This window comes from Homo sapiens, chromosome 15 (genome assembly GCF_000001405.40).
Source record: "Homo sapiens chromosome 15, GRCh38.p14 Primary Assembly".
In the NCBI taxonomy this organism is placed as follows: Eukaryota; Metazoa; Chordata; class Mammalia; order Primates; family Hominidae; genus Homo; species Homo sapiens.
Window position 1 is genome coordinate 52,754,550 of NC_000015.10, and position 27,253 is coordinate 52,781,802.

Consider the following 27,253-nt stretch of genomic DNA (forward strand, 5'->3'; position numbering starts at 1 on the left):
CCTGAAATTGCATAATGGGTGCAAATTCAATGCTGGTATGAAAATTATCTTTGGTGTTAGCAAATAGGATAACTGGGTAGTTTCTTAAAAAACCATTATGGTAGGATACTGAAAATGAAGCAATATTCTGTGAGACTGTGCCTACACAGTACCAAAATAATTGGTCAAAAATGTAACATGAGCCAGGCGCAGTGGCTCATGCCTGTAATCCCAGCACTTTCGGAGGCCGAGGCGGGTGGATTACCTGAGGTCAGGAGTTCAAGACCAGCCTGGCCAACATGGTGAAACCCTGTCTCTACTAAAAATACAAAAATTAGCTGGGCGTGGTGGCGCCTGTAATCCCAACTACTTGGGAGGCTGAGGCAGGAGAATCACTTGAACCCAGGAAGTGCAGGTTGCAGTGAGCTGAGATTGCACCACTGCACTCCAGCCTGGGTGACAGAGTGAGACTCTCTCAAAAAAAAAAAAAAAAAAAAAAAAAGGGTAACATGTAGTTGGATTGATTTTGGGGGTAATATATACTAGCAACAAATAAAAAACATGGTTGTCTGAATTCTGCTATTCTTTTCTTGGGGTATTGAATTTGGTAAGATTGTGTGTAGACACAGCTTGAATTTCCCTGCATTTAGAATTATCACGTTTTAAATAAATAAGGCTTTCCTCCCTCCTAAATTATAAATACATTATGTAGCTGTATCCCCGGCTCCCTCCATCCCTGGAGAGAGAGAAAATGTTAATCAGTTTTTTCCTTTTTGTTTATGTCATTGACAAGATTCTATTTTTTAGTAAATCTTGAAGGGTGGCCATTTAAATGGTCTCTTTCAATAGCTGAACTATAATTGTGCCATATTTAGAAGGGAAATTTTTAAGCTGGAGTTGTGGGTGAAATTAAAAACAAAAAACAAAACATGTCAAGGCAAATGAAGTATTTCATCAAAAGAGAAGTATATGTTGGTTTCCTCTTCTCATTCGACAGCAGACATGAAGGAGACACAGATAGATGGCTTGTTGGTTTTGCTTTACCTCTCTAGTTGCCTGCCTGTTACAGACCTAGACAAGGTGCTGAGATTTGATGCTAAGGAGTTATGTTTTGTGTCAAGATGGTTCAGTTTTGTTCTTTGGCATTTTTAATGAATCTCAATAAAACAACTTATCATTAGGATAACATTTAATTTCATAGTTCTAAGTAGGGGTGGTAATTAACTTACAGTATCCAATTCTTTACCTAATGGCATAAGGGGCATCCACTTAGATAAGTTACAGTCCAACTGAATTCAGAGAGAATTTTTCTGGGAATCAAGTGATTCACTGGGGTACCACTAATACGACTTCATTTTTTTTTTGACTTTGACTTCTACAGCTCTGGTTAAGTGATTTGGACAAATAGAAATTTAAAATTTTGTATTTGTAAGCTCAGGTCTAGTTTTTAATCTGTCCCTGTTAGAGAGCAAAATCTATATTATAAAATTTCCAGCTAAATGCAGTAGCAAGAAAGAAGGCAGAATGCTTTGGAGGCTATTCTTAGTTCCATAAATTGATTAATACCAATAGATCAAAAGTCTTGTCGTCCACCAGAACACTGGCTTTTTTCTATACAGTTCCACCAATTCCACCATTTCTCAGTTGCACCTGCTGTTTTGTTGACGTCCAAGTCATAAAATTTCTGGGATTGGCAATAAGTTAATTTGATAACTTTTTAGGATAGTTATAAGTACTGAATAGCTCATTTGAATAATAATGTTGTTTTTTTAAACTTTATTTGTATTTGTAAAGTATTTAAAAGAGGTTTTTGGTGCCAGATGCATAAAGCAAATATAAGTCAATTAATCTAAGGATAGTTCTTTATTTAGTGACCTTTTACTAAAAAGCATTACTTTGAACAAATTTTCTAATTTAGTTACCCTCCCTGTTAAATTTAGTTTTCTAGTGTAAAAATGGGGTACTACTTTGGAAAGATCCTCAGGTTTTCTCAGCTAGGAACAGATTATGGAACCATGTCTATCTCTCTACTTAAGTGACATTTATGGATCCTGAAAAGGAGTGTGCCATCTGGATGTACACGTGTACTGCATCGACCTCTCTGCCATGATATTAATTGCTTCCCTGAAGCTACATTCTTTCTTGCCAGTTCTGAAAACTCATATTTCAAATGCTTCAAGAGTCATAAATAATAGTCATGATTCTATGTGGCATGTGTATTACAGCTAGATCAGTTCATACGTATAACTTTTCATAGTATCTTGTGTAAAAATAGCTTTGGTTATTAAAATCATTGCAATAAAATACCTGCACTATAATATTAAGTGTGTTCTTTGGTACCTAGGTGATTTTTTTAATGGATGGACTCATGTTTCATTTCTTAAAAAATATCTGAACATTCCTTAACAAACAAAGAGAATGCACTGGTTTAGGTGTCATTCAAATTTTCTTTGCTGGGTTTGAATCTGCATTTAGGTTGCGGGCCTGGCAGGTTCAAACGTTAGGCTAGACGAGCAAAATCACACTCCTAATCCAATGAACTCAGACAACCCCATACCATGTTGGTTGCACTCCTATAGAACAACCATTTCTGAAGACCAGCTCTGCCTAAGTCTGTAACCACTGGTGGTGGTAGTACTGAGACACCATACACCTTCGTGGCATGGTAGAACAGATGAGAAAGTTCGATCTTAAAAGATGTCCGCTCAATGGCTCAAAATCACTATGCTCCAAACCACTAAACAGCCAAGCACAGCGAGGATGGTCATGGATTGAAGGTGTGAGATCCAGTGGTGTTTTCCTGCTCATCATTTGTCTTGCCAAGTCGCCGCCCTGCTGAAGTGTGTGTCTCCAAACAAAGTCAGAATGCAGGTGAGCTAAGTCTTTGGTTTCTTTGGACTATAAATAACGCTTTTTTTTCTTCAAATATTTCTAAGTATAAACCTGCTATCTTGAGGTCCTGGTCTTTTAAAAATTTTTTTTAATTTAAAGCTTTTCCACCGAGGTTTTAGTTTGTGGTTCTTCCTTCATGCTTTGGTACAAGTGCTTGATGAAGAAGATGAGTTGCCTGAATTGGAGCTGCCCTCGTCCTGCCACTTGTCCAGACTCCTCCTTCTTGCGTTCATGAAGAAGTTGCTGACAGTGCTCAGCTCCAACCCCAGCTGCTGGGAAATGGTGATTTGCAATTCTTTGGATGGACGCTTATTTTCCTTGAATATTGCATGTAGAGTTCGACGCTGGACATCTGTGAAGACCAACCTGGGCTTTTTGGGTGTGTTGCCTCTATCCTTCCCATGTTCTTGTTCTTTCCTTTTGCATGCTGTGAAGAAACACAGAAGATGTTAGAACAAATGGTCTAGGGGAGAATCATGAGTAGAAAGACAGAGCTCATAAAATTTGTTAGCCATTCCTCATGGCCTGCTTTCTGTTTGCTGACCTCTGCTTTAAGCACCATTGGAGGCTGGGAGGAAAGTGTAATAGCAGAATGGAGAATTGGGATACAGGTGAAGTTCTGTGAGGCCTGGGCATGGGTTGTGGCTTTGATGAGTATTTGCTCTTTGTCCTGGGTAAGTCAGTTAACTCCATCTGGGCTTCAGATTCCTCACCTGTAGAATGTAAGTTTCTGGCTAAATGAACTTAATCAGTTTGAACCTTTATTTCTTCATCCTCAAAATGCATATAAGAATACCTACCTTGCCGTGTTGTGGTATGAAATAGTGTATGCAAAAGTTTATGCTAACTTTACAAATGCAACACCTTGTCAGCAAGAAGTGGTTGTAGCCCTCAAAGGGTTTATAGTCTGCTGCCAGTAGAATATTAAGAGCCTAATCAGAGTCTAAAAACATAGTAGAAAGGAATTGCATTTGTTTCCCTTCTGATCTTTTTTATTTTCCAGGAAAATCTGTATATAAGAAAGTTAAGTATATAGTTTTTTTTATCATGGCCATCAAACAGTCTTCCACTGATTTTCTAGTGGAACCGGGAACTGTGGAGGTGTGAACCGCTCTTCTTCGACATTGAGACTAAACCTGCCAAGTTAGCCATGTTCATCTCTGGGGTCTCTCTGTGCCTCCTTTTTGCAAGCCATGCTCTTGGAGTCCCCCTCATCACTTACTTGGTCTCCCACTAAGGGGCCCATTCCCTGCGCTTGCATGTCTGGTCCTGTATTATGAAGCTGCTTTTTGGCTGATGGAGTTATTCTAATGTATCATCCCAATGGAGCCCTCAGACCCCAGGGTTTGGCGCCAGATCAGGGTCTCTCCTGATTTTAGATGCCATAAGTCTCTTTCCACCCTAATGAGGCTCACTAGTTTCCACCTGCTAGAGGACTATCAAGGCTGCATTGGTAACAATGCACACTGCCCCTCCACCCAATCTCCACCATCAATCAATCCTCACAACCATCCACAAATAACCATACAACCCAAGTAAAAATAGTGCTCTGATATGTGAATGCAGCCTTAAGAAAAGGCTCCTATGCCCTCACTGCAATCAGATTGCTGCCTCTTAGCCCCCTATGTAGGCGTTCTAGAGCAGCCACTGCCACCTTTATATCTGGCTGGCTGTACTCTCATCATGACCATAGTGGAAGATGGACGGGGCATGCTTCGTGATGGAGGGAGGGATTGCCATTCTTCCATAGCACATCCCTCCCATTGCTGTCCTACCTGTTGCTGCCTTCCGCTTCACTGTATGCCTCTGTGTATTCCAGGTTCTCAATTCCTTACCTGATGGTTCACCAGCTCTGGCTAGATTCAGCCTCTGTGCTCTCCTCAGCCTGCCCCTCCCTTTCATTTCCAGCTGGGTAGATCCTGGACTTCAGAGTTCCTGTAAAACTTCAGGTGCCATTGGTACAAATTAGCTCAGCAACAGATCAGCTGCAGAGCTCATAGGATGAAAGCTGGAGAGGCCTCAAGGCTTTAGAGTCCAATCCAGAAGGCTCCAATTTTTTAAAACAATGTGCTACTTAGTAAAAAAAGTTCTGAGTGTATATTCCCTTATATTATTTATTTATAAATCATATACATGTGTTAGTATACTACTATATTGTGCACATTATAAAACATACACAATACAAAGACATTTTTTTGAGACAGGATCTCACCCTGTTGCCCAGGCTGGATACAGTGGTGCAATCTTGGCACACTGCAACCTCTGCCTCCGTGGGCTCAAGCGATCCTCTCACCTCAGCCTCTGGAGTAGCTGGCACTACAGGTGCGTGCTGCCACAACCTGGCTAATTTTTTTGAATTTTTTTTTTTTATAGAGATGGGGTCTCACCATGTTTCCTAGGCTGGTCTTGAGCTCCTGGGCTCAAGCAGTCTGCCCACCTTGGCCTCCCATTAGAGGTGTGAGCCACTGCCCCCAGCCCACAATACTAAAATTTTTAAAGGGATACAATAAAAATAAATAGACATGGAATTCTCTTCTAGAGATGCATCTGCTTGCCAGGCTCTGGAGTGTATTCACCCTACTTACGGGGCCACTGGTCCAACCATTAGTAAATATAAGAGTGATAATTTCAGAATGGACATGAAGGGAGGGCTCAGTCATGAAAGAGAGATTTGTAGGCAAGGCAGGCCTTATGGCCTTTTGTAACATGTCCTGTAGGTCACTTGCTATGCCTCTTGCCCACCATGAGGGGCGGCATCAACCTAACGGGCAGTATTATTAAATGTCCAACTCCCTCAGAGCCTCGAGTTATAGACATCCTGAGCCAGGTGAGAGTCTCCAAATAGAGTTCTTCCTCCCAGAGGCCTACAGCCCTCACCGGGCACCTAGATTAAGTCCCAGAAAAAAATGACTAAAGTCAACTCCAGTTGGTTTGAGTCAGCCCGTGTGGACACAGCCTCATACAATACTGATGCAGATGGCTGATTCATTGACTTAAAAATGAATACAACACAGGTTTTGCTCTTAAGGATGCCAGATTTAAGTAAATAACTGCACATAAGCAATTAACTACAAGAGTATAAAAAGAGTGTACAGAGTCTACTGCTTGAAGATATTCAGGAAGGAATTACAGAGAAGGCACTCAGATGGGCCCTAAAGGATAAATGGAGGCTTTCTAGTGAGAGGAGTGGGAAAGCTCATTCCCTGCAGAGGGAGCAGCATTGTGAAGGATTGATAAGTATTAGTAGATTGGTATTTGTGAGGCAAGAGGGCACACAAGAAGGAAAGGCTGTGGGAGATGGCTTCGTGCATAGACAGAGTTCAGATATGAATCATCTCATAGGTAAGGAGGAGGTAGGGGGAGGCATGAGTAAGGGTGTAGTGTGATTACATTTGGGCTTAGAAAAACCCCTCTGGTGGAGTTGTGGAGGGAGAACTGGAAAGCAGCAAGATTAGGGACAAGAATGCTACAGTGGGTGCTGTGGTCTACTACCCAGATCCCCCTTCAGGACTGTGCACTTGTTCCTCCAGCTGCTGGAAGGGTTGGTGACAGGTGGCTCTCGAATTGCCCTTGGCCAAAGGTTATGCCACTCTGGGGTGGGGTGGGGGTTTGCCCATATCTAGTGGGGGTGGGTGGGGGGCTGTAGGAGATGGGGGTATGAAAGGTGGTGGTCTAGGAGAGTGGAAATGTGTTGGTTTAAGGACCCTCACCCCAATCCCTTGCATCAAGTGAGACAACTCTAAAGAGTCATCTGGTTCAAGAGCACTCCATATAATTGGATGAGGCTATTTTTGCACCTACATTGTTGTTCAACTCCTCCTTCTGTCCAGTCTTACTTCCTTCACCACCCCCAGGGGGATTATTTGCCATAACATGCTCCGAAAACCTTTCTGAATGCACATCTCAGAAACTCATAATCTGCTTTGCAGAGAACTGTACCTAAAATACAAGTCAGAAAACCACCGTAGGGCCAGGCACAGTTTCTCACGCCTGTAATCCCAGCAGTTTGGGAGGGCGAAGCAGGCAGATTACTTGAGGTCAGGAGTTCGAGACCAACCTGGCCAACATGGTGAAACCCTGTCTCTACTAAACATACAAAAATTAGCAGGGCATGGTGGCAGGTGCCTGTAATCCCAGCTACTTGGGAGGCTGAGGCAGGAGAATTGCTTGAACCCAGGATGCAGAAGTTGTAGTCAGCTGATATTGCAACACTATACCACAGCCTGGGCAAGAGAGCAAGATTCCATTTCAGAAAAAGAAAAGAAAACCACTGTAATGAGGACCCAAAATTAGACAATGGCAGAATCGGAGAAGAACTTCTTGGGCGGTCAAATCAAGAAGACTTCTTGACTACTTGGCTAAGAAGGTATAGTCTGGAACATCTGCCAGGTTTCTGGTTGGATGATAGTAATGGGGCCATTAGGAAATGCAGATGGAGAAATGAGTTTTATGAGGATAGTAACCACTTCTCTATGGAACAAATTGCATTGGATGTGTTTGCTGGACATTCTGTTAAAGGTCTCCATTAGGTGGTTGTACAGCAGACAGCAGGATGTATGGGATCTGGAGTTCAGGGGAGAGATCTGGGCTAGAAATATAGACTTGGAAGTCATTAGGTCTCTAGATGGTAAATTACACAGAACACTCACTCATGGGAAAGTAAATAACTGAGCATTGGGTACAGACTTGACTTATTTATCATTCAAAAGGCAGAGCTAAGGGAAATCAGAAAGAGATATTCATCTTCCATCTAGCCAGATTGTATGTTTGAATGACTTCAGTCTGGTCCTTGGCATTTGGCAGGACTGTCTGCTGAAGCTACCCCTGAGCCAGCATTTCCCAAATGGCATCAGAAGAATGATACTCTCTCAAACAGGGGTTCCTTGAAAAGATGGTTTGCAGATTAAGGACATTTAAAAAAATCTATTATATATTGCCTCTTCCTCAAGATTCATAACATATGTAAGCACAGCTAATTCTGTTTCTCAAATTTGTTTGACCCCAGAACCCTTTTTGGTGGAGACTGTCGATTAATGTCTTATACAATATTAATGTTGGGGAAATGCAGTTTGGAAGTTCCTGCCCTGGGACCTCAAGCACTGTAGACGTTACAATACCAGAACCTGGGGAAGTGAGATTCTCTTGGAGCAGGGACCCTGGCTGACTTGCTCTGTATCTCCAGGACGCCCTGGCCTAGGGCCTGGTTGTAAGGGCAGATCAGTATCCACGTGGGTATGGGGCAGGGGTATGTCTGCGAATAAGTAGATGTGATTAGATCTGGAGGAAATGCTGCCAAAGCTGGAGGTGCTGAAAAAGAAAGCAGAGATATCAGTAAAATGGAGAGTAGACTAAAGCTTACTGAGAGTCACCGATGACCAGGGGAGGCTAAGTGGAGCAACCCACAGAAACAAGTCATACTTCTAGAAGCTTTCACCAGACTATAGCTGTGAGAGCTGAAATTTCCACGGAATTGATTTCAGAGTAGAGATTACCCATTGTAAGGTAGGAAACCCCCAATTGGAGGTTATGAGAGTCGACAGGAATGTGCAAGATAGACAGAGAGAGAGAGAGAGAGAATGAAAAAGGAGTATGACAAGAAGTAGTGCTGCTTAGGGAAGAGCAACACACATGTTTTATGTGAATGTAATATTTTTATGTAGGGGTACAGTTTCCATTAAAAATAGAGAAATACTTGTCAGTTAACTGGATTAAGTGGAAGGAGATGGCCATTGTTGGTGAAAGGTAGTACTAATGATGAAGATCTGTTAGGAGTCACCTCCATGAGGGTGGGCAAGCAGACAGCTCTATAGGATTCACTGGCAAAGTATATCAGACAAATGACTTTGATGTTTATGGGTGAGGTCACCCAAAGTGAGTACCATGGAGGAGGTAGAAGTAGGCATGAAAGATGGTAAAAGTCAGAGCATGACTTTGTGTGCCACGGGAATAAAAGATTATGAAGAAAAAAAAAACAGAGCATGAGGGTGTGGGCAAAGGACAGAGACTTCTAGTTCAGGCATGCCTGGGGACTGCTTTGCCTATAGTGGGCAAGGCAGAGCCAAGTGGGTTTCAAGAAATGTAACTTTGCAGGAGGTTGAAAGGTATTTTGTGAACAATGAGTTGTGAGGTCAAGTTGGTTTGGGAAATGCTGAATTAATTAATGATTAACCAAATTTCTTTAATGCAGGACTTTTCAGAGCTTTAATATGTTACTGAGCATCAACACTTTCTAGCTTACAGGCTCTCCCAAACTTATTTGATCAAAGAACTCTTTATTCAGGGAATTTCTCTTAGGAATGGTGATCCTTAGAACAGTTTCTCAGAGTGTGGTTGGCAGACCTGTGCTGGTCTGTGAACCACTACTGACCTGCAACGAGGTCAGTAAAAAATATTGAGAATAAGCAATTAGAAATGTTTATGGCAGTTTGACATTGCTGCAACATTCAAATGTGTGATTATTTCTCTAGTAATATATTTTTTATTGTATTATCAAAATTATTCATTCAGGACAGATGGAAGTTAGAAACAAACCAACAAGCTAGTCCTTCACTACCTAGAGTTTAAGAAGCCCTGTCTTAGAACACACTTTCTAAAACATAGTATATAGTAACATCTTAGGATCAGTTGTCACTCAAGCATTTGTATACTAACTTATATCCATTTTCCTGACTTAATGATACAAAGGACTTTAGAACATATAAAGTGCTGATTGGATTATGCAAAAGTCTGCCAAGAATTTGTCTGGGAATATGTGGGCATACATATATTGGCCTGGGAGGCATTAATAAAGCCAAATGAACTTATGATACAGCTTCTTAAATGAGCCTGGACTCTTGAAGACACAAGCTCTGGCCCAGCTCCGTGGATATGCACCTGCAAATACCATCAATATTATGAATTTGGGGATTATGTTTCCAACACATGAAATTTGGGGGACACATTCAAACCAGAGCAAATATATTGTCTTACTAATTCTTAGTACCATTTTGTGAGGTGAGAGAAGCCATCGTATTCCATTTTGCAGCTGGGGACACTAAGCTCAAAGAAGGTGAAGGACTTGGTCAAGATCACACATCTATCAGTGGCCACAGAGCTGGGCTTGAGCTGTGTGCTGGCAGCTTATCCACTCATATGTGGCTTGCTCTCTGTGAGTCCTTAGACTCTAGACAAGTATTTTCTCCCTCGAAATAGCTGCCCTAGAATATGTTGTCCTAACATCATCGCAGAGAAAGTGGACTAGAGAGCAGTAAAGGGGAAAGGCTGAGATGTCCAGGACACCATGAAACTGCCTTGACATCTAAGGACAGCTTGGCATTGTCATAAGGGCCTGCTGGAGATGCAGCATCTTCACCCTAAAGGCTGATGTAGATGCTGAAAACTGCAACCCCTCAGTAGCATGCAGGGCCAAGTGTTCTCACACAGGTAAGTCTGTGACGTCCGAGTCACGCAAGGGGTGTCTTGCCTGGATTTAGAAGAGAAACGTCCAGGCGGCCCTCAGCCCCTTTGCTGCTCCAATGCCTCTGGGTCAGATGGGGGTGCACTGGTAAGGCAAGACACATCCTGAAGTTCTCAAGAGCCAGCCCAGGGCTGCTACCCAGATTCCTGATGGGCTTGGCCATGGCATCCCTGCAAACCCTGCTCAGGAGAGCTTGGGGCTTCAGGGGTAGGGAACAACAATATCAAAAAGCATGTGGGCCAGAATATGAAAATCCACAGGGATAGAAAGCACACTGGTGGTTACTTATGGCTGAAGGGGTAGTGGTGGGAAATGGGAGTGACTAATAGGTATGGTTCTTCTTTTTTGGGGAGATGATGAAAATGTTCTAAAATTGACTGTGGTTGCAAAGCTCTGTGACTAACTGGATGACTTTAAATGGGTTGAATTCTATGGTATGTGAATTACATCTCTATCAAGTTGTAAGAGCAGCGGCAGCCAGCCATGCACACAGGGTGAGCCCTCTGCTCTCACCCCTACCTGCCACTGAGAGAGACCCTTTTCTGGTCTGTGGCAAAGGACAAGAGGTAGTCAGCTGTTCATGTGCATTGAGCCCTGAAGACCCTCTCTTGTCAGCTGAAGCTGTTTTTCAAAGTAAACTCTTAGAGACAATATATGTGGATGAGCGAGCACACAAATAAACAGATTTCAGTAAAACGCAGTGGGGGTAGGGAGAGACAAATGAAGGGGAAACTATGCAAGCAAACATGGCAGGACTGTTCCTGAGCCTGTATTCCAGGCCAGTACCTACACTGTGGAGATTAAAGAGCCTTTGGATTGACCGAGACCATCAGGATTAGAGCTCAGACTCCAGGAGTCCTAGGTCAGAATGTTATCTGCCTTGCCTTGAGTGATCTTACTGTGCAGTGTATATTTTTATAAGCTGTGTCCCCAGTTGTTTGGGTGATAAAGGAGCTCTTAAGTGGCAAATTCAGAGGGCACAGCCCAGTGTGCCATTTGAAAAGCAACACGAGTGAGCTCTAATTGATACGGCCAAGGAAATCCTTTGCATGGGAAGCAAAGTCCTGCACAGATTGTCTGGAAACTGATGGCCAGCAGAGGGAGGTGGAGCCCAAACAACCTACTGGACATGAGCTGTGTTTGCTGTGTCTCTGTGAGTAGCCAGAGCAACTATGGAAACTCTTTTGGTCACACACATGGAAAGCCTAATAAGAACATGCAGAGAGCAGACATTCCCAGTGGGGAATAATCACCGTAACTCACCCTTGTGTCTTGCTTTATAGTGCTTAAAACACCTCCATAAAACCTTATCATGTGATCCCCACAAAACTCAGGTGAGGTAGAAATAGGTATTCTTCCTTTTTTTTTTTTTTTGTAGGTGAAACCCTGTCAGAGAGGTTAGGCAGCTTGCCTGCGGGCTGGTTAGTAGGGGACTTGGGCCTCCAGCTTCACTGGACCCTGGAAGCAGAGGGCAGCACCAGTGAAACATCATGGAAACTTTCCCCAGGATGGTGAAATGGGGGCAAGAGCTGAGGGAACGGGTGAAGTGGAGCTCAGAGAACTTGCACCCAAGGTGAACAGAACAGCAGCAGTTGGTCAGCCAAGCAGCAGGCCAGTTGTCAGCCAGATCCGTCTTGATGTGGCTGAAAGGACTGCAGTTTGGCCTTCCAGGAAAGTGGGCTGGATGGAAGTTGAGACAAAGGGAGTTCTGGCAGCATAGCAGACAGCACACCCATGCTGGCCTGGGAAAGGGACTGGAGTAGTCCCATGTCAGGAAGGATGCAGGGGAGCATGGGATAGTTGTCTCCTTGTGTGTATCAGCTTTGAGAAGAAGCTGAAGGAAGCAGCTCACCCAATGGAAAAGGAAAGAGCGGGAGCAGAGGGCCTTGGCAAAGCCAGGTCGGGAAAGTCATTGGAGCCTCTCCCTGCCCCCGGTCTGCTTCTCTAGCAGAGCTGTCCAGGACAGAATCCTGCCATCCCATAGTCTGCTGCCTGGAGTCCTTCCTGAGTCAGTGAATAAAACATGGTGATGGACCTGTCTTCTCCAGGTGAAGCTCCACAGCTGCATCCCAGGAGAGATGGGAACCCTGGACAAGGTTGCCTGGGCCTGGGAGGGGTGGACAGCATCTCCTGAGCTAAGCCCCATTCATGAGTCACCTTACCAGGCCTCACAATAAGGGCGTGAGGGAGACACTGTTATTCTCTCTCTAGTTGACGAATGAGCAGCCTGAATCTCGGTGAGGTTAAGAGACTGGCCCAAGTCACCCCAACAGCAAAATGGTACAGCTGGGATTTGAGCCAGCACAGGGCCCCATGACAGCACTGGAGGACATCGGGAGGTACACCTCCCGCTCCTCTGCAGGCACAGACTATGGGGAAACAGAGAACCATACCAGCTTTCGCTTTCTTTGACCCCACAAACAGCTATTTTGGTGTGATTCTAGACTATCTCAGTTCTTCTCTCCACAAGGTTTGTCTTCTCTCCCTTGTTCTGTTTTCCCTGTGATAGAGGCTAAACCTGAACTAGAATGGTAGCTGAGAATTCTCGTTGAAAGAATGCATTTCGTACCCAATGATACTGGCATCGTCCTCTCGCTGGTCATTCACGCGCATGTGCACACACTTTCCTGAGCACAGCCTCATCAGTTTTTATACTCACAGGAAGAGACACCCATCAACCTGACCCTTCCCTCCATGAAGCTCTCCCCCTGTACTGCAGCTTCAAAGGAACTGGTGGGAAGAGAGAAGCTGCGGCCTTGCGCCTGCTAGTTTGGTCAGTAGCAAAGGGCAATAGGTCTCTTTTCTGGAAGTTTGGCTCAAGAATTTTGATTTCTATCAGTATATGAAGAGATATCTGCACTGCCATGTTCATTGCAGCACTATTCACAATAGGCAAGATGTGGCATCAATCTAAGTGTCCATCAACAGGTGAACGGATAAAGAAAATGTGGTAGATATACATATATACATATTATTCAGCCATAAAAAGAATGAAATCTTGTCATTTGCAGCAACACGGTTGGAACTGGACGGTATTACGTTCAGTGAAATAAGCCAGGCACAGAAAGGTAAATATTGCATGTTCTCACTCACGCGTAGGATCTAAAAAAATTGAACTCATGGAGATGGAGAGTCGAATGATGGTTACCAGAGGCTGGGAAGGGTAGTGGGGAGTGGGGGATAAAGAGGGGATGCTTAATGGGTACAAAAATACAATTAGATAGAATGCATAAGACCCAGTGTTAGGTGGCACTATAGGGTGACTACAGTTAATTATAATTTATTGTATATTTCAAAATCGCTAAAAGAGTAGAATTGGGATGTTCCTAACATGAAGAAATGATAAATGCTTGAAGTGATGGATACCCTAGTTACCCTGATTTTATCATTACACATTGTCTGCTTGTATCAAAATATCACATGTACCCCACAAATATATACAACTATTATGTATCCATAATTAAAAATTAAAACTAAAAAAGGATTTTTCTAAATTCTTTTAGAATTCTAAATTCCTAAACTTCTGTTATTGGCTGATCAGTTGGAGTTTTATTCCATCAGTATCCCTCACTTAAAAAAGACTCTCAATAGTTTGCCTCCAATAATTGGAGTGATATAGATGCTCTAGTTATTATGATGATTCCACAAAACAGTCAAAACAAAAAGCACATCTGATGAATTACATGCTTATTTTTACCTCATATATGCCTATTGTGAATTGTAAGTCTTAGCTTATCGACCTCATTTTTCTAATTAATAGATGTATATGTTACTTTATAGTATTTATAGTAATTGAGAGTTATAAAACAGAATTTCTTTAAAAAACCTACAATCTTGAGTTTTCACTAAGTCATCAGACATTTTCTCTAATTAATTTCAAATTAGTGAAGTTTTCCTTGTTTGCTTTTTTGGAAAGTTGTCTGTAGAATCAAACTGTAAATGCTATTCTTCCAATGACATGCATGATACAATTAGTTTCACAAGGGTCTCCCAAAAGCCCAAGATGAAAGCCCTTGGCGGCTACTCTACCATGATATTCAAGGACCTTGACACCCTGACCTCAACCACATTTCCCATGTCACTTCCTACTACTACTGCCCACTCAATACCAATCATTCCTGCCACACTGCTCAGAAGTCATTCCTAGATATGAACCTCCACATCCCTACTACTTTGCTCAAGATGTCTCCTACATCCAGAATGTCCTTCCTTTTCTCTTTTCCATACAAAAAGATCCCTGTGCAATGAAGGTCAACCTCAAGCATCTTCTTTTCTGCTAAGCCTTCTCCATCCCCTCTCCCATCCAGGGAGAGTTGTTGTCTTTTGTGCCCACAGAGCACCTTCCCCACAGTATAATTAGTTAGTTACCTACCCATCTCTCTCACACAGTCTGTAATACTAGAACATGGATTATTTCCTTGGCATACTCAGCACCCTTGTTGGGAAAGCAAGTTGGATGTGGCTCCATAGAAAATAGAGATGCAAGAGACACAAGTCTTTTAAGTTTTGAAAATGTGTGCATAGAATGAAGTTCCATGAGATAGCCTTAATCCCTTTACTGGATAGTGATTTTTGCAGTAGTTTAATGGCACCATGGGGAGATTTCTGAAATGTTATATCAGAAACATATGGGGATATATATGGGGAATATATGGGGATATAGCTGAAATGTCACTGACTGGGAAGTCAGTAAAGGTTGGCTGAGTCCTTGGTATTGCCACCACTCCTATAACTGGGTCTGAAGTGAGCTCAGGGACAGGTAAGGAGCAGACTAGAGCAACAGAGCTGGAGAAGCAGAAGGCACAGGGGAAACTAATTTGGGGTGGAACATTGAAATTAGTTGGGAGTAGGTAATCACCTCCCTTTACCAAGGTTAGGTGCCCAGGAGGGGCCACTGAGTACCAGAGGGCAGAGGTGTACTGTCTGCATCCGTCCTTGCTAAGTTTGGGTGGTGACTGGTCCATATTTGCCTTAGAGAGGAGATAAGGATCAGATTTATGGATAATGTCAGCAAATATCCAGAGAGTCTGTGTGGTAGAAACCTTAACAATAAATTAATGAGATGACTCCAGCAGAAGAGTCTTGAAGAAATTCAAATTCAAGGGATGAAAGACTCAAAGAATGCTTTATAAATAAGGTGAAATGATATCCCATTTTGTTTCTTTTTCTTCTGGCAACTGCCAAGCCATTGGGCTTTTTGAGTAGGACCTCTGGCTATTATAGAGCCCTGGATCCATGGGTTAGGGTATCATTTCTCTCTCCTGGGCTTCAGGGCTGGCCTGCATTCTGCAGTGGGAGAGACTGGAAGGACCCTCAGAAGTTCTTAGTCTTCTCTGCAAATGGGAACCACTGAGAAACTTTAAAAGCACTCGTGCCTGGGATCCATCTCCAGAGATACTGATTTATTCAGTCTCGCAGAGGCCTAAGCCTGGGATTTTTGAAAGCTCCCTCGGTGATTCTAATACTTAGCCAAGGCTGAGAACCACTCCTCTAAATCAGTCTTCTCAAACTTAAATCACCTGGACATCTTGTTAAGACGAAGATTCTGATTCGGCAAGCCAGGGTAGACTCTGAGATTCTGACCATCTAACAAGCTCCCAGGTGATGTCTAGCTGCTGGTCCGGGACTGCACTCTGAGTAACAAGGGCTGAGAGTCCCGAGCGTGAACTCCAGTAAAGGTGTGGCCCAAATACATCAACATCGCCTGGGAGCACAAAGGGGCGGCTTGTTCACAATGCACATTTTGGAACCTCATCCTATACCTACTGTCTCTGAGAGTGAGATTCACAAGCCGATATTTTGTTTTTTAATTAATTTTTTAACGTGGAAAAAAATGAACTTTAATATGGCTTAAAAATACCACAAATCAAATCCAAAGACAAAAATTGAGAAGCAGTTGTAAAATACACAATAATTTCTTTATACAAATCACTCAGAAATAAAAGAACATCCAGGGCAAAGGATATGAACTCTGTGTCAGTTTATGAGAGAGAGAGAGAGAGAACATTTATTTTAATTTTTTGTCTGAGCTTGGCAAAGATTTAAAACCTTACTAATCCTCAATGTTGACAAGAATAAGGAGCAATAGGCACTTTTGATGGGAACATCAATTGGAACAACTGTTCTGAAAGATGATCTGCATTTATATCAATATTAAAATATATTTACTTTTGATCTAGTAATTAACACTTCTAGGAATTTATTCTAAGGCTATATTCAGGCAAGTGCTCAAAAATATAAGTACACATATTCATCATAGATCCTTTTATAGTAGTGAAAACTATAGGGAGTTAATCAATGAATTATGGTAAATTTGTGTGTGCAAAGACTTGCTTACCTATGACTACATCCCCAGAATCTAGCTCAGTGCTTGGTCTATATATGAACATTTATTGAATAAATGAACAAATAAATATAGTAGAAAATTCTATAGCCATTAAGAATGATGATGTAGATGTATATTTATTGCAGTGGAAAACTATTCATCCGATCTTACAAAAAGGACAAGCAGATGACAAAACTGCATAGATAGAATCATCTCATTTTTGCATAAAAAGCAAGTGTGTGTGTGTGTGTGTGTGTGTGTGTGTGTGTGTCTGTGTATATATCTATGGAAAAAAGTTTAGAAGAATGTATACCAACATATAAATTGTGTTTCTTCCTAAATGGTGAGATTATAGATGTTGTTTGCATTCTTATTTATATCTTTAAGTAATGTCTGTTTTTTTTTACAATGAGCATGTATTAACAGATGTAATTTTGATAATCACTAAATTTTTTTTTTTCATTTTTGTTCCATAGGTTATTGAGGTACAGGTGGTGTTTGGTTACATGAGTAAGTTCTTTAGTGGTGATTTGTGAGATTTTGGTGCACCCATCACAGGCAGATATTTTAAACAAGCTTCTCAGTAATTTGGATGCCCAATAAATTGGAGAGCCACTTGCTCCTAGGACAGTATTTTAGACCTTTCCAAGCTCAAGAGAATTACTCCATACTTTGGCAAAAACACAGGCTGACTAAATCAGAATCTTAAGAGTGGCCTGGGAATCTGTGCTTTGAGAAGAATACCAGGTAATTCCTGTGAGTTCAGGTCCAGGAAAGCCTGCTTTGTGGGATCTTTCTGTGGGACTGGGCCCAGGTAACCCTCCTCTCTCCCCACAGTGAACTTGTACTTGTAAAACCCAGCTGCATTGATTGTCATAGACAACCTGGCAGAGGAAAAAAAAGCGAGATGTGGCCGGGTGCGGTGGCTCACGCCTGTAATCCCAGCACTTTGGGAGGCCGAGGCGGGTGGATCATGAGGTCAGGAGATCGAGACCATCCTGGCTAACACAGTGAAACCCCGTCTCTACTAAAAATACAAAAAATTAGCTGGGCGTTGTGGCACACACCTGTAGTCCCAGCTACTTGGGAGGCTGAGGCAGGAGAATCGCTTGAACCCGGGATGCAGAGGTTGCAGTGAGCCAAGATCGTGCCACTGCACTCCAGCCTGGGCGACAGAGCGAGACTCCATCTAAAAAAAAAAAAAAAAAGCGAGATGTGTGTGAAGTTTGTTCACGGAGTTCATTGGAGGCAGAGGGTTTTGTTCTGTGATTATGATGAAAGAGGAAGTTGGGTGAGAATGGAGGAAAAGATCAGAGTAATGGCTGTGAGCTTTTTAGCGCTAATTGACAGGGCCTCCTTCATCTTGACTTGTCTGAATTTACTGCCAAGTGCCTAACATGGAAGGGAGGGAGCTGTGGGACTGAAGGGCATCCCTGTGGGCAAGTAAGTGTATCTCATGCCCAGAAAGAGGAAGAACAAGGTTTTTGTGCCACTCCTTATTATCCACCGGGCTGGCTCCAAGAGATGAACTAAAGAACTGGAGGGTTTTTGTTGTTTTTGTTTTAATTTCTGCAGCTCCACACCCATGCTGTGACAGGAACCCTATTAGTTTGTACTGGGCTTGTTTTAGGGTTGTTACATTTAGAGGATGTTTAAAGTGTTATTTTATATAATAAGACGTGGCATGAGTGCACACACACATACGCATATAACAAACCCAAGCTGCATATTTTGGCGTGTGCTTATCAAGCTGTAACATGCATTAGAATCACTTCCAGGGCTTGTTAAAACGTGACAAGCCAGAGTTTCTAGCCAGAGTTTCTGATTCCATAGGATTTCTAACAAGCTCCCAAGTGATGCTGGGGCGTGGGTATGGCAGGTGGGGTGGGGAGAGAGAACTGCAAATGAATCTTAACTAAAACATTTTTAAGCAGGTTTGTTTATTTTATGGGTATGGGCAAAGCAATTTTGAAATGATTTTAGATGTATTACAGGATTGAGCAAATGAGTAAATGTGTGTGTGAGAGAGACAGAGAGAGAGAAAGAGAGAGAGAGAGAGGTAGATTACTGGGTACCAGAGTTCCCACTGTGCAGGAAAAGACATATAAATAGGGAATGGGGGAAGGCAGGGAAAAATCCTCTGAGGATATATTGCAATTGGAGGTGGAGGTACTGGTATGAACTAATGATTTTAGAAATACGTACATGAGCACGTATATAAGCATGTTTATGCGTACATGGATATTATGTATGTATGATGTGTATACACATATTTGTATGTGTGTGTAAATAAATGTATATGTATCTGTTTCCTGGCTTTGTCTGAGAGGGTAGAAAACCAAAAGTCACCCTAAAGCCATGAGCACACTTAGTGCCTAGGCTGTCTTGGACTCTAACATGTTTCCCCACCAGGATAAACCAGGGCTCATCAAAGAAGTGGCACATTCTAGGATTGGGGCAGAATATGTACCAAATGAGCTTGGAACATCTTATGATGCCAGAAAGTTAAAAAAAAATGTAAGCATTGTCATAGGGACACAGGAGTCAGAGGGAAAGGGCTCTCGTCAGTGAAATCTGGGACAATTTGAGCACCAAAATAGTTAAGTACAGTAATGAATTGTAAGCCACTGGAAAAAAAAGGAATGCCTGAGTCCACTCCAATCATAAATGGATAATGAGAGAGAAGGAAGGCTCTTGCAAATATCCTCTCTCTCTATCTATATGTTGAATAAATGAATGCTATTCATGATATATTTGGGAAAGGACAGGGATGATGGAATTACCAGAGATTTTTTATTGTCTCCATTATTCTTTTATGTGTTTTCAAATACTCCACCATAAATTTAATAATGGGATTTTTTAGTTTGAAAAGTTACAAAGTAGTAGTATGTACCATCCCATAGGGAAAAGATTGGAAGGATACACACACACACACACACACACACACACACACACACACACACAGAGGGTTATCTGTGTGGGGTGCTGTGGGTGATTCTTTTATTTTTTTTCTTTATTAGTGTTTTACCCTGCAGCTCCAGCTCAAAGGATGTATATAATACTAATAATTTGCAACAAGAAATGAAGTTATTTATTTATTTATTTATTTATTTTTTGAGACAGAGTTTCGCTCTTGTTGCCCAAGCTGGAGTGCAATGGCTTGATCTTGGCTCATTGCAACCTCCGCCTCCAGGGTTCAAGTGATTCTCCTGCCTCAGCCTCCCAAATAGCTGGGACTACAGGCAAGCGCCACCATGCCCAGCTAATTTTGTATTTTTAGTAGAGACGGGGTTTCACCATGTTGCTTAGGCTGGTCTTGAAATCCTGACCTCACGTGATCCTCCCACCTCGCCCTCCCAAAGTGCTGGGATAACAGGCGTGAGCCACCGCACCTGGCCAGAAGTTACCTTTTAAAAAAGCATTGAAATTAAAACATAAATTAAGAAATAAGATACAAGGTGCTTGAACATGGTAAGTATCAAACAAATGTTAAAAAAAATTTACTAAGGCTATGTCATGACAAAAGCAGAATTCAAAAAAGTATATATAAGCGGTACAATAATTAACTTTTTGGAAAAAATCTCCACCCTTGTGTTGAGGGTAGTGCTCCAAAATGATATTGTAGTTGTGTCTGAGTGTATTTATTACTTTAAAAGAGGAAACTGTATGGTAGATATAATGTTTTATAAGCTTGCATTTTGAACATCTTTCACACATTGAATTGTCTTTCATAAAAGAGCTAGAATAAGAGGTTGAGGTGGGCAGATCACCTGAGGTCAGGAGTTCAAGACCAGCCTGGCTAACATGGCGAAACTCTGTCTCTACTGAAAATACAAATTGTAGCCTGGTGCAGTGGTACACACCTGTAATCCCAGCTACTCGGGAGGCTGAGGCAGGAGAATCACTTGAACCCAGGAGGCGGAGGTTGTAGTGAGCTGAGATTGCGCCACTGCACTCCAGCCTGGGTGACAGAGCAAGACTGTCTAAAAAAAAAAAAAAAGAGCTAGAATAAGCTAGAATAAGGGGACCACCACTGAAGCACTTGGGAGCATTTTCAACCTACGCAGAGGGGTGGTCACCCTGTACTACTTCTCTTTTAATTTCATTACTCAGATAATTGCACTGGGCAGCATCTTCTAGGGAGGCAATTTTCTGGCCAAATAATTAAAAGAAGTAAGAGCCATTTAGTACTTTCCCTAGAAAGTTATCTTTTGGGAGATGGGAGAGGCCCTTGATTATTTTTAAAGAGGAACACACACACACACACACACACACACACACACACACACACTCTTAAAGAGCCATAGACTATCTCTTAAGAATATACAAGAAACTGGTAACAGGGGTTTCTTCTAAGGGAGGGGGACTTGGGGACTTAGGGAATATGATTGGGAGGAAAACTTGTTTTTTTCTGTATACATTTTCATGCTGTTCAAATTAAAATAATGATGTGCATTTAGTATATGTTCAAAATATTTATTAATTAAAAACAATTCTTTAAAAAAGTCTGTTGCTTATGGAACAACTGTGAAAATAACTAGATCGGAGGAAAGTAAAATGTGTTTTCTTATGAAAATATGCTTGCCATTAAACTGATTAGTTTCCATCACAGATAGATTTGTAAGTGACTCAAACCAAGACTTTCCAACATTTGTCTGCCCCACCTACATGTCTGTGCTTCTGTCTACTCTGCTGTTCTCTTTGTTTATAGATAGACAGCTCTTGAGCTACCATTACTGGGGAGTTACTTTTGTTTCTCTAACAGCAGGGATGGATTTGGGCTAACCCCTTCCACTGGTTCTTCAGGGCTCCTTGTACCCAGGGAAGTGGCTGGATGGAATGTGAGTAACCATCACTGCCCACCAACACCGGGAAGTGAAAACTGGACCCAAAGGACCCACAATCTTCACCTCATTAGCATCGTGCTCACATCATGTCTCTCTCAGTAAGTAACAGGTTCCGGTGAGGCAGAAACAATCTAACTGATTGGATGCCTCAAATCTGTACAGAAGCCAGAGAGCCCACCTATCGTAGGAATGTATTTGAGAGGGTGAACTATTCTGAAACATTCCATCTTTATATTGACATCCACATAACCACTCTGCAGCTAAAGGTATATCCAAGCACCCAGCTTCCCATGCCAGAAGCAAGGAGCCTGTTCCATTTCCATTTTCACTCTCCACCATGTCTACTCGACTTTAGAAATAGCTCTCAAATTTTGCCACCCATTTTCTCCACCTTTGCTGACAATGACATATAATCAGACCCTCAGAATCTATTGCCACTTCTAGCTAGTCCCTTGCGACTTTTCCTCCCATTATCTTCCTCTCCAGCATGCTTTCAAAAGCACAAATCTGACCATTTCATTCCACAACAGGTCACAACTTCCTTTGGGCTGCACCAACACACCAGGTCCTTTGTCATCTCCTTTCAGTCTCCTTTCCAGTTTTCCTGGCTGCTCCCACAGAACTTTATTTCTACCCAGATCAGAGACTTTGTCGGTATTTATTTTCCTGCATGCTTCCTCCCTGTGAGCTCCTTCAGGATACAATAAACACCTCATTCCTCTTTCGTGCCCCTGTACTCAGCCTAGTGCCTGGCACATAGGAGGCACCCGATCAGTGTTTGGGCGAATGAAGGAAAACAGACCTTTTGAGTGATGTAACATGGCCATCAGTGGTGCTTCTCAGACTTTAATGGACACAAGAATTTCCTGGGGGTCTTGCTGAAATGCAGATTCAGGTTCAGTAGGTGTGGGGTGGAACCTGAGGGTCTACAGTTCTTACAAGTTCCCAGGTGAGGTCGATGTTGCTGTTTAGGGAGCCACACTTTGAGTAGTGAGGACCTATAGAACATTAATAACTTTTTTAGATGGAGGAGCATGTTGAATCAATTATTCCTCTAAGGATCTTGAAGTTTTGAGTGAACTTTTGATTTCAAAAAGATCAAAAGAAGTAAAAGATTTTATAAACACACACAAACACACAGTTATACAGAGTAAGCTACAGAGCTATAGGTTATTCCAGAAGTAAGTAGGAAAAGGGAGTAAAAATAAGAGTCATCTACCCTTAAATTCTCAATACCATTATTCTAATTTGCCACTTGAATTTATATTAGAATCACCGGGGAAACTTTTTAAGCAGCACATATTCTCCCCCCTTCTCTCCCTCCAATCTGATTTGCTCTTCTAGAGGAATAGGACACCCTCAGTCCATGGCTCCCTACCACTGAAAACCACAGCTTTGGAGAATGCTTTTGTAATTGATGGCAATGTTTTGTGTCACTCAGCTGTGCTGGGAAAGAAACAAGCTTTTAGCTTCATAGTAATTCTGATCTAAGAGCTCTTCTACAAAAGGAGTTTAGCCAGGGCCCCCACGCATGCTGTTGTTCCCTCTTCCTGGAAACTTCTTCCTCCATTTCTGTCCCAAGTCCTACTCATCCTCCAGATCTTCAAAATTGTCCCTTCATCACACCTTAAACTCCTCCTTCCTGGAAAACACACACACACACACACACACACACACACACACACACACAAAAAAACATGTAAAGTTATTTGTTCTCTTCCCTGCTAGACTGTGAGTTCCAAAGAAAAATTGTGTTGTACATTCCATTCCCGGTCCTGAGCACGGAACTTGCTACAGCAGGTGCTCAAATGAGTGAAAAAATTAACTCTTTTTTCCATATTTAATGAAATTCCCTCTTTTACTTATTTTATCCTCCCGTCCAAAAATGGCTGAATGTAATTCCTATGAGAGCTGATATTTAGTATGGGGCTAGAACCTGCTTAAATGACAATAGAGTATGTCTTGAGGTTTGTTTGGTCTGAATTGCTTGGGTTGAGGAATCAGACAAAAACAATGTTTCTACCTCCTCAATGTTAAAAATAAATAATAATCACTGCCTACCAAACAATATGTATCATATATGTAAGATATGAAGCACAAAAACAAAATGAACATCTATGAGTCCACCACTCAATAAAAGAACTAGAACATTAGTTGCCTTGTGAAGCTACAGGGTGTTCTTGCCTCTTATCTCCCTGCCTTCCCCTATCCTCTAAATTTATGTTTATTACTCATTTTTTTAAAAATAGTTTTTATATATCATGATTTATTTATGCATTCCTTGTCAGTGAACGTTTAGGCTTTTTCAGTTTTTCTGCTCTTAGGAACAATGCTGCCAAGAACAGTCTTTGCATGTCTCTAAGAGCATTTATGAATTTACCTATAATATATGCCAAAGGGTAGAATTGCTAGATATATGTAGGTCCAGGTTGAGAAGATGATGCCAAGTCATTGACACTATGTTTTTGTAGTGAAGGTGCCAATTTACTTTCGTTTCCACCAGTAGTGGCTAAGAGTTCCTAATGACCCATATCCTTGCTAACAGCTTGTCTTACTAGAACACAAGCAATGGAATCTCAAGCTGCAGCACTTTGGGGCCAGAAGGCAGAGCTCCTGCCTGGATAGGTTATTTCCTCCTGACCACCTGACAAGGGACTGGCCCCCTGAGGCTTACACTTTGTTGAGACCTGAAACTGCAGACAGAGCACTAAACTTAGAAGAGACTAGGGCCCCAACTAAGCTTCCCCATGGATAGATACATAGTCATCATAGAAGGCAATCAATCATAGAATGTGACACCTGGAAGGGACCCTAAAGCCAAATCCTTCATTCTACATTTATTGAGACTGAGGCCCAGAAAGGTTAAATTACTTGACAATGTCTAAGAGCTAATTACTACAGAAATCTTCCTCTGGGGCACTTTATTCTTAATCCAGAGAGGGTTTTCTTTTTTTTTTTTTTGTAACTGAAGATGGTGTAATACGATCCATTACATTAATAATGACTGTAAATATTCAAATAACTGACTAGTTTATTTAATTAATTAATTTATTTTGAGCTGGAGTCTCGCTGTCGCCCAGGCTGGAGTGCAGTGGTGTGATCTAGGCTCACTGCAACCTCCGCCTCCCAGGTTCAAGTGATTCCCCTACCTCAGCCTCCCGAGTAGCTGGGACTACAGGTGCAGGCCACCACACCCGGCTAATATTTTTTTTTTGTATTTTAGTACAGACAGGGTTTCACCCTGTTGGCCAGGATGGTCTCGATCTCCTGACCTTGTGATCTGCCCGCCTCGGCCTCCCAAAGTGCTGGGACTACAGGCGTGAGCCACCGTGCCTGGCCGACCAGTTTATTTAAAAAAAAAACTTGTTTAACTTAAGTGGCATGAATTTGATAACTTTCATTTCTTTGGTTATAAAGACGGGTGATATTATTCGATGGGATAAAGAAACCAAAATTATAGTTTCAATATGCAAATTTAACTCTCCTAAGAGACACTGGTCTCCTGGGGGATAAACAGTCCCCAATTATCTGATTGATCATTCTTGTCCTTGGATCATTCCCCATACCCACCAGGCAAATACTAGGTGCCTCCTTAAAAAGCCATTTTTGTAAGGAAAACTTTAAATTCATTAAATTTAAAATCATCTTCCCCTTAGGAGCACTCATAATTAGGCTATACTAAGACTCTGGGAACGATCTATGGAGATATGGCAAACTAGCCTCCGTGACTTGACGGTTTCTAATCCACATGCGAATGTGGAAAAATGCCAAAAAGAGACCAATCTTCAGCAGAGGTACTTAGCGCTCTCCAGAGTATGCATAATAACCGAGTGTGGTATATAAGTCTAGGGCAGAGGCATCTGTCTCCATCCATCAGACAGTAAATGTGGAGCTGGGGAGGAAAAGGAGTGCTTCCTAACAGGATGGGTGTTGGTGTGAACAAAGGGGGCTTTTGAAGCCTGTAGTGGAAATTTTCCTTCTGGAGCTGTGTCCTTCAGGAATTCTCTTCCTCCCTATCCCTTCCCATCTGCCTGGTCCTCTCTACACCAAGTCCTCTTTTACCATTTAAACAAATCTTTTGGTTTAACAACGTCTGCAGGCAGATGCTAAAAGCTTTCTGTGAGGCAGCCCTTTTTTAATGTCAGGATGAAACTCAGGAGCTGTTTATTACTCTGGGGTGGGGGGCTTGGAGGGAAAGAACACCAAGTAATTTTGTGCAGGAATGCTGACCAAACAGTACTGAGGTACTTCTGGTTCCAGTTTTCCTCCTAGCAGTCATTTTAATCAGCACTTCCCCCTTTTAATGAGCTGGTAGTGCCATTACATAATCACCCAGCTCACTGGATTAATGATGAAAAGAGGAACTGATTTTTCCAGTTGCATCATTTGAAGTAAATGTTAACTTTCTTTCTGAGTCCTTAGTTAACCGCATTAGTGTGACAAATATGTCTTTGTCTAGCATAAGTAATTAGAATTTAATCACTTTAACTGCATCTTAATTACCCCAAATGAATTGAAAGGACATTTAATAGCAAAGATTAAATTGCCTTAATGAACGATTTTTGTGACTCCATCAATACTCGAATCGCTTTAGCCACTCCTCTCACGCACTTCAGTCGCAGAATCTGCAGCGAGCACAGAGGTCACTAGGTGGCGCGCTTCGCTCGTTTGTTTATTTAATTTTCCCCATTGATCTGTTTTAGAAGACAACAGGAAAGAAAGCAAAAAGCACATAGTTTATTGCGTTCCTTCGATAACCTCTCTTTGGGACTATGAGATCATCACCAGATGTGAAAACGAAAGCAGTGATTTCAGAAACCGTCGATTCTGAATATCCCGTGGCGGCATATGCAAAGGAAGATGAGAAACACATGGTGACTGGAAACATGCAGTGTTTGACAGAAATTGCAAGATGCCCTCTAGACAACTCCCAGCCTATATACTCTGTTTTGGTCAATTTATTACTTTTTAGTGCAGAGCCCTAAAATTTGAGTTACAGGCAATCTTTGAAATAGCAAGGCAGGCACTGATGTGGAGCCAAGAAGTGTAATTGCTGTCCAAGTGCAGATCAGAATGCCAATGCCTGAAGGTATGGGAAGATCTGAGCCCTTGGGCCCCCCTCAAGGCAAGGGACCGAATGGACCAGCCCCACCCACAGGCACATCTAATGAGATAGGTCTTGTCCATCAATAATTGTTTAAGTGAACAAAGGGATGGGAGGCTGGGGTTTCACATCTACTTCTGGCACTTCCTCACATTTTCTGGCTGCTTCTTCAAAAAAGAGTAATAAAAAATCTCTTTTACAAGTCTTGAGTATAAAAGAAATAAGTTTTCATAAGTGACTCTTTTTGAGAGTCCCAAAGGAAAGACACACTTTCTCTAATTTCAAGAGCTTATTATGTAGAGACTTTTGAATCAGTTATTTCCACATTCTGACTCCACTAACCTGGTGCACCTGTCCTGGCAACAGAAGCATGGGATGGAGGATAAAATGTTCTGGGCTTTGGACTGGGAAAGCTGAGCTCAGGGCATCACTGTTTTCCAGTGGTGTTATCACAAGTAAATTATTTAACCTCACTGAAGAGAGCAACAGGGAAAAAAGTGGTAAATACCACTTAGACTAATGGTTCCCAAACTTGGCTGCACATCAAAATCACCTGGGAGTTTATAAAAATCCAATGCCCATGTCACGTCCTGTACCAATTACATCAAAATATCTGAAGCTGCAGCTAGGCATCAGTTTTTTTAAAGGTC

The 27,253-nt window shown here is 42.1% G+C and overlaps 1 protein-coding gene across 2 annotated transcripts in view, besides 1 other annotated feature; it reads right to left on the reverse strand.

The window, feature by feature from the left end:
- Positions 1–503: 503 nt before the first annotated feature.
- ONECUT1 (one cut homeobox 1) overlaps positions 504–27,253 on the reverse strand; it is a 35,284-nt gene continuing 8,534 nt past the window's right edge. Inside the window, exons 1-2 of one of the 2 annotated variants that reach the window (NR_073510.2) lie at positions 26,047–26,335; positions 504–3,298 (exon numbers count right to left, since the gene is read on the reverse strand). Coding sequence is in view for 1 of the 2 variants with exons in the window: in NM_004498.4 (NP_004489.1) it covers positions 3,006–3,298 (293 nt within the window). In the remaining variant the exon portion in view is untranslated. Of the gene's footprint in view, positions 3,299–26,046; positions 26,336–27,253 lie in introns of those variants that run through there. The other variant, NM_004498.4, reaches the window with a different exon arrangement.
- Positions 25,929–25,978: an enhancer, noted in NCBI's record as "active region_9437". NCBI's record gives its function as "activates an Ori minimal core promoter by ATAC-STARR-seq in GM12878 lymphoblastoid cells {active_cell/tissue: GM12878}" and the evidence as "EXISTENCE:reporter gene assay evidence [ECO:0000049][PMID:35858748]".